This window comes from Homo sapiens, chromosome 2, assembly GCF_000001405.40.
Source record: "Homo sapiens chromosome 2, GRCh38.p14 Primary Assembly".
Classification (NCBI taxonomy): Eukaryota; Metazoa; Chordata; class Mammalia; order Primates; family Hominidae; genus Homo; species Homo sapiens.
In genome coordinates, this window is record NC_000002.12 from 236378283 (window position 1) to 236395454 (window position 17172).

At 43.6% G+C, this 17172-nt stretch overlaps 1 protein-coding gene and 1 long non-coding RNA gene across 11 annotated transcripts in view, besides 1 other annotated feature; one reads left to right on the top strand and one right to left on the bottom strand.

Moving 5' to 3' along the window:
- Window positions 1–17172, bottom strand: part of DRC11 (dynein regulatory complex subunit 11) — a 200792-nt gene that overhangs the window by 71598 nt on the left and 112022 nt on the right. For 6 of the 10 annotated variants that reach the window (XR_007081589.1, NR_073043.2, XM_047445852.1 and 3 more), the window contains 3 exons: window positions 13962–14068; window positions 13694–13789; window positions 2287–2354 (listed from right to left, as the gene is read on the bottom strand). Coding sequence is in view for 8 of the 10 variants with exons in the window: in XM_047445852.1 (XP_047301808.1) it covers window positions 2287–2354; window positions 13694–13789; window positions 13962–14068 (271 nt within the window). In the remaining 2 variants the exon portion in view is untranslated. The remainder of the gene's footprint in view (window positions 1–2286; window positions 2355–13693; window positions 13790–13961; window positions 14069–17172) is intronic. The other 4 variants (NM_001270584.2, NM_024726.5, XM_017004960.2 and 1 more) reach the window with 1 other exon arrangement.
- Window positions 12792–14094, top strand: IQCA1-AS1 (IQCA1 antisense RNA 1). Its single transcript, NR_174961.1, has 2 exons — window positions 12792–13186; window positions 14013–14094. It is a non-coding gene; the product is annotated as an IQCA1 antisense RNA 1 (long non-coding RNA).
- Window positions 13112–14311: an enhancer, noted in NCBI's record as "MED14-independent group 3 enhancer chr2:237300037-237301236 (GRCh37/hg19 assembly coordinates)". NCBI's record gives its function as "activates an origin of replication core promoter dependent on BRD2, BRD4, P300/CBP and CDK7 cofactors, and independent of MED14, by STARR-seq in HCT116 cells {active_cell/tissue: HCT116}" and the evidence as "EXISTENCE:reporter gene assay evidence [ECO:0000049][PMID:35650434]".

Sequence of the window (17172 nt, forward strand, 5' to 3'; positions counted from 1 at the left end):
TGTTTTAACTTGAATACTTATTTAATATAAACAATATACGCATAAAATATTAACATAAATTTGAAGAAGATTCTCTAACAATCGAACAAATGATATTAAGAAGGTCTGAGGCTAGGTGTGATGGCTCACACCTGTAATCCTAGCACTTTGGGAGGCTAGGGTGGGCGGATCATTTGAAGTCAGGAGTTCAAGCCAGGCTGGCCAACATGGTGAAACCCCATCTCTACTAAAAATACAAAAAAATTAGCTGGGCCTGGTGGTGGGCAACTGTAATCCCAGCTACTCAGGAGGCTGAGGCAGGAGAATCGCTTGAACACCAGAGGCACAGGTTGCAGTGAGCTGAGATGGCGCAAGTTCTCTCCAGCCTGGGCGAAACAGCGAGACTCCGTCTCAAAAAAAAAAAAAAAAAAGCTAGAAGACACCGTGGCACAGTGTGTGAGCATGGGCTGCACCCTCCTCAAGGGATGGGACTCCGAGGCCCCTCTGCCCCCCAAATCTGCCCCAGGAGGTGCCGGTGTTTACGCATGGACAGATGTGTGCCTCCCCAGGAACTGGGGCACCTGAGACTCAAAACGCTGACCAGCTGCTTCTTCGGCAGCAGTCAGCCACAGCATCTCGACCTGGAACTGCTTCTCAAACAATGCAGCCTTGAGTGGAGAAACCTGCAGCCCCTCCCCCTATGGATGTCCCGTGACAGCCATTTCTCTAGAGAGCAGAAACCCACACTCCCCCGACTGTGTTTCCAGGGGCTGCTTGCCAGGGCCGCGGCAGTGTTCTGGCCTCCCTGGAGGCCACAGATGCCCAGTGCCCCTCTGGGTGCTCTGCCCTCCTCTTCCCCCCGCAGAGAGCTCTAGGCAGGGCTTTCTCCCTCACTGAGCTTCCCTCCAACAGAGTTTGGGGAGAGTAATGCTGGGACACAGGGAGAAGCAGGAACCCCCAAACAGGGTAGCGACAGGACTAAGGGAAGCGGAGGGAACCCCCAAACAGAAGAGTGACAGGACCAAGGGGAGGGAACCCCCAAACAGGGGAGCGACAGGACCAAGGGGAGGGAACCCCCAAACAGGGGAGCGACAGGACCAAGGGAGAGGGGAGGGAACCCCCAAACAGGGGAGCGACAGGACCAAGGGAGAGGGGAGGGAACCCCCAAACAGGGGAGCGACAGGACCAAGGGAGAGGGGAGGGAACCCCCAAACAGGGGAGCGACAGGACCAAGGGAGAGGGGAGGGAACCCCCAAACAGGGGAGCGACAGGACCAAGGGAGAGGGGAGGGAACCCCCAAACAGGGGAGCGACAGGACCAAGGGAGAGGGGAGGGAACCCCCAAACAGGGGAGCGACAGGACCAAGGGAGAGGGGAGGGAACCCCCAAACAGGGGAGCGACAGGACCAAGGGAGAGGGGAGGGAACCCCCAAACAGGGGAGCGACAGGACCAAGGGAGAGGGGAGGGAACCCCCAAACAGGGGAGCGACAGGACCAAGGGAGAGGGGAGGGAACCCCCAAACAGGGGAGCGACAGGACCAAGGGAGAGGGGAGGGAACCTCCAAACAGGGGAGCGACAGGACCAAGGGAGAGGGGAGGGAACCCCCAAACAGGGGAGCGACAGGACCAAGGGAGAGGGGAGGGAACCCCCAACAGTGGAGCGACAGGTGTTGATCCATTAATAAGACCTATGGGAAGAAAAATATACATTCAAAATTACTTCCCACATTATTAGGGATTTTAATTAAATTCCTTGATAATATTTGAAAACCTACGTACTATTTATTTTCAGTGTTAAAGTACTTTCAGGCCACTTCAAGTTAAAAATGAACACTTGAATTCATTCGTCCTGCACTGAAGCTGGGCCCATGAAGCTCTGAGAAAGGACACCGCCCTTCCTGAGACTGGGCCTCACTGCTCTCATTCCTTCCGCGGCAGGAGCAACGGCCTCAGCAGAGGCGCTCGGGCAGATTCCTGTCCTGTGAGAACTCAGAGTCTCCGTATTTCCTCAAATGCTTCACCAGGGTGTTATTTCTTAAACAAAAAACTTAAACAAAAAATTCCATGAATTTTAAAACTTAAAAAAATGTTATGACGTCAGAAGCCATGGGGGTCCAGGTTTGCCTTCTGGGCCACCCAGGCATCTTTCCAGTCTGGGATTTGTAGGGACTTAGAGGTGGCTCCCACCACTCCGGGACTGTGGAGGATGAAGAGGGCGTGGCATCACAGAGGGGGCGTACTCGGGGTTCCCTGTGCTGTTCTCTGGGGCTGCTCACGCGCATCACAACACAACGAGTCCATTCCTCACCTGTCAGCTGTCAGATCTTTATCCTTCTTTGCCTTCTTCTCTTTCTTTTTGCCTTTCTTTCCTTTCTTCTTTGGAAAAAAAGGAAATAACCAACAATTTAGTCAAAACAAGCAAGCAAATAAGTCCTAGAAATTAGCTAAGCACGTTGTTTTCTGGGGGTGGTGGGAGGTGGAAAGTTAATTGTGGTGGCGTGAACACAGAGCTGCCGTGTTTTCATGAACGTAGGGACTGGCCTGGAAAATCCCAAGTTGCTTATGTGGTGTGTCCTTGTGTGGACAGACGTGAGGTCCCCACTGTGGAACTTGCACAGGGCCAAATTCCAAACAGGGAAGAGCATTCTGACTTTCTGGGCTCTGGCTTGGTGTCCCACAAAGGATGAGAGTGCCGTGTGCACATACAGGAGTCAAGCTGTGCTCACCTTTGGTGCCTGATATAAGCTGAATGCTTGTGTTCCCCCAAAACTCATGAGTTGAAGCCTACCCCCAAGGTGCTGGTATTAAGAGATGGGGCCTTTGGGAGGCAATTAGGTCACAAGGGTTCCACTCTCATGGAGAGGTCTGAGGGAGCTTGTTCACCCGTTCCACCATATGAAGACACAGCTAGGAGGAACCATCTTTGAAGTGGATAATGAGGCCTCACCAGACACAAAATCACCAGACTTCGAGTCCGCTGGTGTCTTGATCTTGGACTTCACAGCTCCCAGAACTATGAGCTATTAATTTCTGTTGTTTATAAATTACTCAGCCTAAGAACGTTGTTATAGCAGTCCAAACAGACTAAGGCAGTCCCAATCGCCTTTCACAGCTCCCAGAACTATGAGCTATTAATTTCTGTTGTTTATAAATTACTCAGCCTAAGAACGTTGTTATAGCAGTCCAAACAGACTAAGGCAGTACCCAATCGCCTTTCGCAGCTCCCAGAACTATGAGCTATTAATTTCTGTTGTTTATAAATTACTCAGCCTAAGAACGTTGTTATAGCAGTCCAAACAGACTAAGGCAGTCCCAATCACCTTTCTCTGTTGGCATCTAGCCCCACATCTGGAGCCCTCAGGGCCTGGCAACAGTCTACCTCTAGTTCCCAAGGGGCTTTGCACTCAGGTACTTGTGACAGCCTAGAGAGACATGCTTCAAATGTGCTTATTTCATGTGCTTATTTGCCATCTGTACATCCTCTTCAGTGTGATGTCTCTTTATGTCTTTCACTTGTTTTCTAATTGGGTTGCTTGTTTCTTAACTTCTGAGTTTTGAGAGTTCTTTATATGTTTATTGTTTCAGAGTTCTATATATGTCTAGTATATGAATACTAGATCTTTGTCAGATATGTGGTTTGCAAATATTTCCTCCCAGTCTGTAGCTTGTCTTTTTATCCTCTTAACAGGGTCTTTCACAGAGCAATCATCTTTAGTTTTGATGAAGTCCAATATTTCCTTTTAAAAATTGTGTTTTGGATGCTAATTCTAAGAACTCTTTATCTAGCCTAGCCCCCAAAGTCTTCTCTTTTTGTTTTTCTAAAAGTTAAGTCTGTGACCCATTTTGAATTAATTTTTATATAATGTGTGAGACTTAGGTTGAGGTCCATTTCTTTTTGCTTATGGATCTCCAGTTACTCTGGCACTACTTATTCAAAAGTGTCTCTTTCCTCCTTTGAATTGCTTTTGCACCTTCATCAAAAGTCAGGTAGGCATGTTTGTGTGGGCCTATTTCTAGGATCTCTGTCCTGTTCCACTGATCTATGTGTTTAGCTCTTTACCAATAGCATACAGTCTTGATTACTGTAGCAATATGATAAGCCTTAAAATTGAGTAAATTGGTCCTTCTCACTTTATTCTTCTTTTTCAAAATTGCTTTAGTTATTCTAGTTCCATTACCTTTCCATAAAAATTTTAGAATAAATTTGTCTATGTCTACAAATTATATTTCTGGGATTTTGATAGAATTGCATTAATCCTATCCTATAAAAATATCCTAATGGACATTTTTACTATGTTGAGTCTTCCAATTCATGAATATGGTATGTCTGTCTATTCAGATCTGCTTTGATTTCTTTACTGGCATTGTGCAGTTTTAACATACAAGTCCTATACCTGTTTTGTTAGATTTACACATATGTATTTCATTTTTTGAGTGATTTAAAAATCACATTCCATTTTAACTTTGGTGTCTATGTATTCATTGATGATATGTAGAAATATAATTGATTTTTGCATGTTTATCTTATATCCTGCACCCTTGCTGATGTAAGCTGATTTGGAGTTTGTAGATTCCTTGGGATTTTCCACAAGAAAATAATGTCATCTGTAAACAAAACCTTTTAACCTTATAATAGTTTTAGATTTACAGAAAAATTACAAAAACAGTACAGAAATACCTCTCACATAATTTTCCATATTAACATCTTACATCAAGTATGGGACATTTGTCACAACTAAGAAACCAACATTGGTATAATATTATCAATAAAAACCCGAAGTTTATTAGGTTTCCACTAATTTTTCCCTAATATCCTTTTGTTTTCCAGGATCCCAGGAAGGTTTTGGAGTACTGATCTAACGTCTTTATTTGTTATTGGTGTGTTGAAGCTTTCTATTTCTTCTAGATTTGGTCTTGGTAGGTTGTATATTTCTAAGAATGTATCCATTTCTTCTAGGTTGTCCAACTTATTAGCATATAATTGTTCATAACAGTCTCTTATGATCTTTTTCGTTTCTTTGACATTGGTTGTAATTTCCTCTGTTCTATTTCTGAAGGTATTTAAATCTCATCTTTTTCTTAGTCTAGCACAGAGTTTGTCAATTTTTAAAATCCTTTCAGAAAACCAGCTCTTAGTTTTATCATTTTTTCCTATTGTCTATCTATTCTCTATTTCATGGATTTCTGCTCTAATCTTTGTTATTTCCTGTCTTGTGCTAGCTTTGGGTTTAATATTCTCCTCTTGATCTAGTTCCTTGAGGTATGTTGGTTATTTGAGATTGTTCTTTTTTAATGTAGGCATTTATTGTGAAAAACTTCCCTCTTAGTATTGCCTTTGCTACATCCTATAATTCTTGGTATGTTGTGTGGTCATTTTTTTTTTTTTTGTTTTGTTTTTAAAACAACTTTTTTTTTTATTATACTTTAAGTTTTAGGGTACATGTGCACATTGTGCAGGTTAGTTACATATGTATACATGTGCCATGCTGGTGCGCTGCACCCACTAACGCATCATCTAGCATTAGGTATATCTCCCGATGCTATCCCTCCCCACTCCCCCCACCCCACAACAGTCCCCAGAGTGTGATATTCCCCTTCCTGTGTCCATGTGATCTCATTGTTCAATTCCCACCTATGAGTGAGAATATGCGGTGTTTGGTTTTTTGTTCTTGCGATAGTTTACTGAGAATGATGATTTCCAATTTCATCCATGTCCCTACAAAGGACATGAACTCATCATTTTTTATGGTTGCATAGTATTCCATGGTGTATATGTGCCACATTTTCTTAATCCAATCTATCATTGTTGGACATTTGGGTTGGTTCCAAGTCTTTGCTATTGTGAATAATGCCACAATAAACATACGTGTGCATGTGTCTTTATAGCAGCATGATTTATAGTCCTTTGGGTATATACCCAGTAATGGGATGGCTGGGTCAAATGGTATTTCCAGTTCTAGATCCCTGAGGCATCGCCACACTGACTTCCACAATGGTTGAACTAGTTTACAGTCCCACCAACAGTGTAAAAGTGTTCCTATTTCTCCACATCCTCTCCAGCACCTGTTGTTGCCTGACTTTTTAATGATTGCCATTCTAACTGGTGTGAGATGGTATCTCATTGTGGTTTTGATTTGCATTTCTCTGATGGCCAGTGATGCTGAGCATTTTTTCATGTGTTTTTTGGCTGCATAAATGTCTTCTTTTGAGAAGTGTCTGTTCATGTCCTTCACCCACTTTTTGATGGGGTCTTTTTTTCTTGTAAATTTGTTTGAGTTCATTGTAGATTCTGGATATTAGCCCTTTGTCAGATGAGTAGGTTGCGAAAATTTTCTCCCATTTCGTAGGTTGCCTGTTCACTCTGATGGTAGTGTCTTTTGCTGTGCAGAAGCTCTTTAGTTTAATTAGATCCCATTTGTCAATTTTGGCTTTTGTTGCCATTGCTTTTGGTGTTTTAGACATGAAGTCCTTGCCCATGCCTATGTCCTGAATGGTAATGCCTAGGTTTTCTTCTAGGGTTTTTATGGTTTTAGGTCTAACGTTTAAGTCTTTAATCCATCTTGAATTGATTTTTGCATAAGGTGTAAGGAAGGGATCCAGTTTCAGCTTTCTACATATGGCTAGCCAGTTTTCCCAGCACCATTTATTAAATAGGGAATCCTTTCCCCATTGCTTGTTTTTCTCAGGTTTGTCAAAGATCAGATAGTTGTAGATATTTGGCGTTATTTCTGAGGGCTCTGTTCTGTTCCATTGATCTATATCTCTGTTTTGGTATCAGTACCATGCTGTTTTGGTTACTGTAGCCTTGTAGTATAGTTTGAAGTCAGGTAGTGTGATGCCTCCAGCTTTGTTCTTTTGGCTTAGGATTGACTTGGCGACGCGGGCTCTTTTTTGGTTCCATATGAACTTTAAAGTAGTTTTTTCCAATTCTGTGAAGAAAGTCATTGGTAGCTTTATGGGGATGGCATTGAATCTGTAAATTACCTTGGGCAGTATGGCCATTTTCACGATATTGATTCTTCCTACCCATGAGCATGGAATGTTCTTCCATTTGTTTGTATCCTCTTTTATTTCGTTGAGCAGTGGTTTGTAGTTCTCCTTGAAGAGGTCCTTCACATCCCTTGTAAGTTGGATTCCTAGGTATTTTATTCTCTTTGAAGCAACTGTGAATGGGAGTTCACTCATGATTTGGCTCTCTGTTTGTCTGTTGTTGGTGTATAAGAATGCTTGTGATTTTTGTACATTGATTTTGTATCCTGAGACTTTGCTGAAGTTGCTTATCAGCTTAAGGAGATTTTGGGCTGAGACAATGGGGTTTTCTAGATATACAATCATGTCGTCTGCAAACAGGGACAATTTGACTTCCTCTTTTCCTAATTGAATACCCTTTATTTCCTTCTCCTGCCTAATTGCCCTGGCCAGAACTTCCAACACTATGTTGAATAGGAGTGGTGAGAGAGGGCATCCCTGTCTTGTGCCAGTTTTCAAAGGGAATGCTTCCAGTTTTTGCCCATTCAGTATGATATTGGCTGTGGGTTTGTCATAGATAGCTCTTATTATTTTGAAATACGTCCCATCAATACCTAATTTATTGAGAGTTTTTAGCATGAAGGGTTGTTGAATTTTGTCAAAGGCTTTTTCTGCATCTATTGAGATAATCATGTGGTTTTTGTCTTTGGTTCTGTTTATATGCTGGATTACATTTATTGATTTGTGTATATTGAACCAGCCTTGCATCCCAGGGATGAAGCCCACTTGATCATGGTGGATAAGCTTTTTGATGTGCTGCTGGATTCGTTTTGCCAGTATTTTATTGAGAATTTTTGCATCAATGTTCATCAAGGATATTGGTCTAAAATTCTCTTTTTTTGTTGTGTCTCTGCCTGGCTTTGGTATCAGAATGATGCTGGCCTCATAAAATGAGTTAGGGAGGATTCCCTCTTTTTCTATTGATTGGAATAGTTTCAGAAGGAATGGTACCAGCTCCTCCTTGTACCTCTGGTAGAATTCGGCTGTGAATCCATCTGGTCCTGGACTCTTTTTGGTTGGTAAGCTATTGATTATTGCCACAATTTCAGCTCCTGTTATTGGTCTATTCAGAGATTCAACTTCTTCCTGGTTTAGTCTTGGGAGAATGTATGTGTCCAGGAATTTATCCATTTCTTCTAGATTTTCTAGTTTATTTGCGTAGAGGTGTTTGTAGTATTCTCTGATGGTAGTTTGTATTTCTGTGGGATCGGTGGTGATATCCCCTTTATCATTTTTTATTACATCTATTTGATTCTTCTCTCTTTTTTTCTTTATTAGTCTTGCTAGCGGTCTATCAATTTTGTTGATCCTTTCAAAAAACCAGCTCCTGGATTCGTTAATTTTTTGAAGTGTTTTTTGTGTCTCTATTTCCTTCAGTTCTGCTCTGATTTTAGTTATTTCTTGCCTTCTGCTAGCTTTTGAATGTGTTTGCTCTTGCTTTTCTAGTTCTTTTAATTGTGATGTTAGGGTGTCAATTTTGGATCTTTCCTGCTTTCTCTTGTGGGCACTTAGTGCTATAAATTTCCCTCTACACACTGCTTTGAATGCGTCCCAGAGATTCTGGTATGTTGTGTCTTTGTTCTCGTTGGTTTCAAAGAACATCTTTATTTCTGCCTTCATTTCGTTATGTACCCAGTAGTCATTCAGGAGCAGGTTGTTCAGTTTCCATGTAGTTGAGTGGTTTTGAGTGAGATTCTTAATCCTGAGTTCTAGTTTGATTGCACTGTGGTCTGAGAGATAGTTTGTTATAATTTCTGTTCTTTTATGTTCGCTGAGGAGAGCTTTACTTCCCAGTATGTGGTCAATTTTGGAATAGGTGTGGTGTGGTGATGAAAAAAATGTATATTCTGTTGATTTGGGGTGGAGAGTTCTGTAGATGTCTATTAGGTCCGCTTGGTGCAGAGCTGAGTTCAATTCCTGGGTATCCTTGTTGACTTTCTGTCTCGTTGATCTGTCTAATGTTGACAGTGGGGTGTTAAAGTCTCCCATTATTAATGTGTGGGAGTCTAAGTCTCTTTGTAGGTCACTCAGGACTTGCTTTATGAATCTGGGTGCTCCTGTATTGGTGCATATATATTTAGGATAGTTAGCTCTTCTTGTTGAATTGATCCCTTTACCATTATGTAATGGCCTTCTTTGTCTCTTTTGATCTTTGTTGGTTTAAAGTCTGTTTTATCAGAGACTAGGATTGCAACCCCTGCCTTTTTTTGTTTTCCATTGGCTTGGTAGATCTTCCTCCATCCTTTTATTTTCAGCCTGTGTGTGTCTCTGCATGTGAGATGGGTTTCCTGAATACAGCACACTGATGGGTCTTGACTCTTTATCCAATTTGCCAGTCTGTGTCTTTTAATTGGAGCATTTAGTCCATTTACATTTAAAGTTAATATTGTTATGTGTGAATTTGATCCTGTCATTATGACGTTAGCTGGTTATTTTGCTCGTTAGTTGATGCAGTTTCTTCCTAGTCTCGATGGTCTTTACATTTTGGCATGATTTTGCAGTGGCTGGTACCGGTTGTTCCTTTCCATGTTTAGTGCTTCCTTCAGGAGCTCTTGTAAGGCAGGCCTGGTGGTGACAAAATCTGCAGCATTTGCTTGTCTGTAAAGTATTTTATTTCTCCTTCACTTATGAAGCTTAGTTTGGCTGGATATGAAATTCTGGGTTGAAAATTCTTTTCTTTAAGAATGTTGAATATTGGCCCCCACTCTCTTCTCGCTTGTAGGGTTTCTGCCGAGAGATCAGCTGTTAGTCTGATGGGCTTCCCTTTGAGGGTAACCCGACCTTTCTCTCTGGCTGCCCTTAACATTTTTTCCTTCATTTCAACTTTGGTGAATCTCACGATTATGTGTCTTGGAGTTGCTCTTCTCGAGGAGTATCTTTGTGGCGTTCTCTGTATTTCCTGAATCTGAACGTTGACCTGCCTTGCTAGATTGGGGAAGTTCTCCTGGATAATATCCTGCAGAGTGTTTTCCAACTTGGTTCCATTCTCCCCATCACTTTCAGGTACACCAATCAGACGTAGATTTGGTCTTTTCACATAGTCCCATATTTCTTGGAGGCTTTGCTCATTTCTTTTTATTCTTTTTTCTCTAAACTTCCCTTCTCGCTTCATTTCATTCATTTCATCTTCCATTGCTGATACCCTTTCTTCCAGTTGATCGCATCGGCTCCTGAGGCTTCTGCACTCTTCACGTAGTTCTCGAGCCTTGGTTTTCAGCTCCATCAGCTCCTTTAAGCACTTCTCTGGATTGGTTATTCTAGTTATACATTCTTCTAAATTTTTTTCAAAGTTTTCAACTTCTTTGCCTTTGGTTTGAATGTCCTCCCGTAGCTCAGAGTAATTTGATCGTCTGAAGCCTTCTTCTCTCAGCTCGTCAAAGTCATTCTCCATCCAGCTTTGTTCCATTGCTGGTGAGGAACTGCGTTCCTTTGGAGGAGGAGAGGCGCTCTGCTTTTTAGAGTTTCCAGTTTTTCTGTTCTGTTTTTTCCCCATCTTTGTGGTTTTATCTACTTTTGGTCTTTGATGATGGTGATGTACAGATGGGTTTTTGGTGTGGATGTCCTTTCTGTTTGTTAGTTTTCCTTCTAACAGAGAGGACCCTCAGCTGCAGGTCTATTTGAGTACCCAGCTGTGTGAGGTGTCAGTATGCCCCTGCTGGGGGGTGCCTCCCAGTTAGGCTGCTCGGGGGTCAGGGGTCAGGGACCCACTTGAGGAGGCAGTCTGCCCGTTCTCAGATCTCCAGCTGCCTGCTGGGAGAACCACTGCTCTCTTCAAAGCTGTCAGACAGGGACATTTAAGTCTGCAGAGGTTACTGCTGTCTTTTTGTTTGTCTGTGCCCCGCCCCCAGAGGTGGAGCCTACAGAGGCAGGCACGCCTCCTTGAGCTGTGGTGGGCTCCACCCAGTTCGAGCTTCCCGGCTGCTTTGTTTACCTAATCAAGCCTGGGCAATGGCGGGCGCCCCTCCCCCAGCCTCGCTGCCGCCTTGCAGTTTGATCTCAGACTGCTGTGCTAGCAACCAGCGAGACTCCATGGGCGTAGGACCCTCGGAGCCAGGTGCCGGATATAATCTCGTGGTGCACCGTTTTTTAAGCCCGTCGGAAAAGCGCAGTATTCGGGTGGGAGTGACCCAATTTTCCAGGTGCCGTCCGTCACCCCTTTCTTTGACTCAGAAAGGGAACTCCCTGACCCCTTGCGCTTCCCGAGTGAGGCAATGCCTCGCCCTGCTTCGGCTCGCGACCGGTGCGCGCACCCACTGACCTGTGCCCACTGTCTGGCACTCCCTAGTGAGATGAACCCGGTACCTCAGATGGAAATGCAGAAATCACCCGTCTTCTGCGTCGCTCACACTGGGAGCTGTAGGCCGGAGCTGTTCCTATTCGGCCATCTTGGCTCCTCTGCCTGTCATTTTTGTCTTGAGATATTTTCTAATTTCCCTGCGAATTTTTTTCTTTGACTCAATGGTTATTCAAGAGTGTGTTGTTTAATTTCCGCATATTTGTGAATTTTTCTGTATTCTTTTTGTTATTGATTTCTAGTTTCATTTCATTGCAGCTGGAAGTTACTTGGAATGTTTTCAATATTCTTATATTTATTAAGACTTGTTTTGTGACTTAGCATGTGATATATCCTGGAGAATGTTCCATGCATACTCGAGAAGAATGTGTATTCTGGTGCTGTTGGGTACAATAACTGTTAGGACTATCTGGTCCCTAGTATTATTCAAGTCTGCTGTTTCCTTATTGATTTTCTGTCTGGATGATACATTCATTACTGAGAGTGGGATAGTGAGTTCTCCTACTATTATTGTATTGCTGTCTATTTCTCCCTTCAGATATGTTAATATTTACTTCATATATTTAGGTGCTTTGATTAAAGGTGTATATATAATTGTTATATCTTCCTATTGAATTGACCCTTTTATCATTAGTTAATGATCTTTTTGGTTTCTTGTGATAGTTTTTGATTTGACGTCTATTTTGTCTAAGTATAGCCATTTCTTCTCTCTTTTGCTTATTATTTGCATGAGATATCTTTTTTCCATCCCTTCACTTTCAGCCTATGTGTCCCTAAATCTGAAATGAATCACATGTATATAGCATATAGTTGGATTTTTAAAATCCATTCAGTGACTCTGTATCTTTTGATTGGTGAGTTTAATCCATATACATCTGAAGTATTTTTTGAAAGGTAAGGACTTACTTTTGCCATTTTGTTAGGTTATTTCTATTTTGAGGTTCTTTTGTTCTTCTCTGAAGTTACAAGTTGCTGTGTAACTTAACGATGTTTTGTAGTGATATACTTTGATTCTTTTCTGGTTCTGGGATCCAAAGACAGGCCCAACGCTGATTTTTGTGGGTGGGCCCACAAAAATAAAGCAGCACAATGGTTGCAGTAAATGACTTGCTATTACTACACCACAAAAGTGGAGAAAGCTGCCATAGAAGCAAGGTGCACCCAGGGTTTGTGGGAGGCCCATGGTTCTGGGGTCCAAAGACAGGCCCAGTGCTGATTTTTGTGGGTGGGCCTGGTGTCAGGGTTTGTGGGAGGCCCATGGTACTGGGTTTCACTGGCCTGGTGCTGAGCTCCATGGTGAAGTCAGATGTTCACTTCTCTGTCCCTTTCTTCCAAGATAAAACTCATGGGTCTAGGAGATCTCTCTTGGCACTAGGCTGTGTGGGCTTTGGGGTGACATGGGTAAAGTGAAACTTTCATTCTTACTCTCTTCAGTGCATCTTTTTTTTTATGATTCTGTGCTCCACCCAGGTGCTGCAGCCTCTCACCTGAATCCCAGAGCTCTTGTGAAGTTACTTTCATCTATGGATGGTTATTAAATTGGTGTTTTCAGCTTACAGTGAAAGATCTTCAGAACACCAATTCAGTTGCCTTCAGGGTTAAACCATAATATCAACACAAAATGGATCAAGAGCCAGTCATCCTAAAAAGACCACATGCATGGCCCCTGATCTAGCAAAAGTAGTCACAAATGCAGCTGAATGTGTGGAAACCTCTAAGAGAAAATGTGTGAATCACAGAAAGAGTGGCTCCAGTCATGGAACGTGGAGAAAGCTGCCACAGAAGCAAAGGCTGCCTATGCTCATGCCAGCACTGACAGGGAGAACTCTCCGCCCTCTACCTTGGGTATTCTGGCTCCAATGACAGGGCTGTCTCTGGAATGAAGGTAGAAGCAGGGGCCAAACTAAATGAACTTCAAATACCCTGATCTAACTAGCTACTCTAAACCACTGTGAGATGGATTGGTGGCAACTTACACTTCCAATTCATCCAATTCCTTTCCCTATGATTCCCTCACTCACAAAAACCTGCTCATTACCATTGGCCTCCCTTATAGATCTATGTACAGGAACAGTTGGGGGCTGTTTGGGGAATGTGCTTTGGCTCTTTTGATAGTTCCCATTCTATCAGTGGGGCTTGGGTAATATGAATCTGCAACTGACCGGGGCTGGGGAGATGTTACTCTCAGATGGTTGGGTTTATCCTATTTATGAATCCACAGGCCCAAAGGTTAAATGGTGGACCAATTAAATTTACCAAAGGCAGGCATGTTTCCCCGTGAGGTGTCCTGGCAACAGGCGGCCCTCCTGGACATGCCACAGCATGTCAGGGGCTGCTTTTCATGACTGAATCCGCTCCACCGCACCCCTCTGCAGGCTCCTTCCCCACTCACCTTGTCCTTTTTCTTTCCTGCTTTCACTGGGCGCTCCCTTTCTCTGTCCACAGCTAGCTTTAAGTTTTTAAGTTCCTGTCTCATCAACTCATCAACCTAGGAGAATACAAAACATACTACTTTTAAGTCACTTTGCATGTCTTGTGTTTTGTTTGTGAAGTTTAAAAATCCCTTAAATTATGGGGTAGGTCATTAGTAGGAAATTGTAAAGAAGCACAATGGTTGAAGTAAATGATTTGCTGTTACTACACCATAAACGTAGCTGTACCTGTATCCTGATCTCTGACTGTAATTCTTTTCGTTTCTCCTCTTTGATCAGTTCTGGATCATAGTCCTGAGAGAAATTCCAAGACTCATCTTTTTTCATCCAGATTTCTACACTCCAGAAGGGTAAAGAAAAAGAAAAAGAAAAAATTTTAAAAAGATATAGGTTAATGAAATTTTAAAAAGACGTAGGTTAATTGTAAGTTATTGCAATATAAACATAAGCCTAACTTTATATGTTATTGCATAGGATAAAAGTTTGAATAAAATAAGCTGGACAGATGAGATTCATATATGTGCTTGTAAATGCACTAAAAAAAGAAAAAAAACTGCTGATGTAAAAATATTGAGTTTTAGTTTACTCAATATTTTTTAAGTGTGATACAATAGTATTCTACTGTATTATTATAATCATGTAAAAACAATATGTTAATGCTGGGATTATACAATCACAGATGACCTTTTTTGTAATGTTTTATCTTACTTTTTTTCTTCAAATGATTCACTAAAATACGAAAGATTTTGTTGCCTGTTGAACTCTCCAGGAATTATCCCTTGCCTCCTATTACAAAACAGACAACACTAAACACACAAGTACCCAGTATTTCTCCCTAATTCAACAGCTAAATTTCTGAATTACTTTTTGGATGTTTTTGAAATCACACATATTTAAAATTTCCCTTTTGCCTCTTCCTGGTGGTTAGGAGGGTGGACCTGGAGAAACATGACCCTAGACAAAGTAAGAATAATTTCCCATCACTAAAATAAATGGAAATAGAGCTCCTTTCTCAGAAGGGAGGTTCCAAATGTATGCTGAGGTGTGGAATAGCTGGATCCTCGACGTGGGACTTGGAAGAGGTCTCCCATGGGAAGCCAAGACTTGTCATTTGGGGAAGGAGACATCTTTCTGGAATCTATGTCGAGAATGTAAAGGAAATTTGCTGGAATTTGTGAAGCTGACAACCGCCACCCAGTCTGGCCACTTCACTGGGAGCTGCCTTTAGGGTTCTGATGACCTTCAACCTAGGAAGGCAGCTGAGGACCCAGGGCACAGACAGAGGCTCCCAACCTCTAAGGGACAAGGGCTGCCCCTTGTGAAGACAGCAGAGGCTGCAGGCCTCCAAGGCAGGGGGTGGTGAATGAATGAGGGAGGCTTCTCAGCATGGCTTCCCTGACAAGCATGGCATGACCCACTGACCGAGAAGGGAGAGGGTGGTGCTCTAACTCTACATTGGGAGGAAAGTCATAGTCACAGACAGAAGCACAAATCTGGCTGCTGGAGACCCAGAGCCATCAAACGTGAAGACCTAGCATAGAGACGTTTCCCCAGAGAATTACATGGGCAAACTAATGGGAAGGAGGGGTTGAGTCTCTGAACAAACCACAGAGGACCAGGAACTGGCAAAAGGGATGGACAAGGAAAGGGGCAGGGATAAGGTGCTGTGAGACCCGGGAAAAGCTAGACTCTCAGGAGAGGTGGGGAAAGCCTGGGGAGACTCTGAGGCAAACTCAGAACTGGTGAATAGGCAGGACAATTGTCCCGAGGGTTTTGGCCACCTGCCACCTGCCTGGGGCAGCACAGCTTGGTGCAAGAGCCACTGTTTGTGGCCAGGTGGAACCCCTGCCCTACCACCTACCAGCTGGTGACCTTAGCAGGGGATAGCCTTTGCAGAGACCATTCCCCTTTCTGAGAAATGAAAATAACCCCTTCCTCACGCTGATATGGTGATGGTAAATGGAATAAAATATATAAAGTTGTATGAATAAATTAATTTTTAATAAATATTTATATATAAATAAATATATACAGTTCCAGTTTAGCCCCAAATAGTTGCTGCCATCCCCCAGGAAGCAGAGCATCTCACAGGGTCTTAGCCTACCTCATTGACACTCTGTACCCCTCGAGGGGAGAGGATAATGCAGGACAGCAGCTACACCAGAAACAGCTATGCCCCAAAGCCCCAAAGCAGGTGCATGCCAGCAAAGAGGAATAAGGGCCCTGGGGCCAGTGCCTGCGTCTTTAGTGGTCAGAGTCAGGACCCTCAGGACAGGACACCTGCAGGAAGACAGGACATGGAAATGCAGCTCCAGTTTTCAAAAAGAGTGGGTTGGGCCAGGCGCAGTGGCTCATGCCTGTAATCCCAGCACTCTGGGAGGCCGAGGTGGGCAGATCCCGAGATCAGGAGTTTGAGACCAGCCTGACGAACATGATGAAACCCTGTCTCTATTAAAAGTACAAAAATTAGCCAGGTGTGGTGGCGTGCACCTGAAATCCCAGCTACTCAGGAGGCTGAGGCAGGAGAATTGCTTGAATCCAGGAGGTGGAGGTTGCAGTGAGCTGAGACTCCAGCCTAGGCGACAGAGCGAGACTGTCTCAAAAAGAAAAAAAAAAAAAGTGGGTTGGGTTCACAAGCTGCAGCTGCTGATACCAGAGGTGAGCACAGAAGGGGCAGAAGGGGTTGTCTGCCACACACGGCAGAGGCAGGTCCACCTGCCTTCCTGGACAGACTACGGCACGGATGGCTCAGCAGGTGTCTGAGCGGGGTGGGTGGTGGGGGTTCCAGCAGGACCCAGCAAGAGCTCTTGGCTGGCCTACCTCCTACCAGCAAACCGAAGGGCAGGGCTGTGTGTGTATTGCTGGCTGAGCACCATCTCTGCCACAGAGATATGGAGGACCAGCCCGTGGTGGCGCAAGGGCAGTTGGGCAGGTTTTTGAAAATGATGCAGAAAATGATGCAAATTTCTTTCAGAATGGCTAATGTGGGCTTACAAACAGACAGAAAATAAATCACAAAGGTGGTAAATTTTTCATAGGACCAATGCACTTAGGCGTCCTTCCCCAGACAGGGCAGTCTCATAAGAGGTGGCCCAGGGATTGGGGGCACAGCGCTGGGGGTGGGAAGGGGGCTCAGATGGGACTCTGAAGGTGACTGCAGAGGTGAGGCCAAAGTTCAAGGGGTGTCTTCATTCACACGGGGCAGGTGGCCAGCCCAAAACAGGTGTGACGACAAGAGGGGAGAAGAGGCGAAAAAGGCTGATGGGCTGGAGTGGGCCTACAGGAGGCAGCTGGGAAGCCTGGGCTGAACAACTCTCTTTACACATAATCCTTTCCAGTGAGAGCCAGCCCGAGAGCCAAGGTATAGAAAACAAGCATTGCATACATTGTCTAAAGCATCCCATTGGTGGAAGAGATACTTCATGTCACTAATATGTGG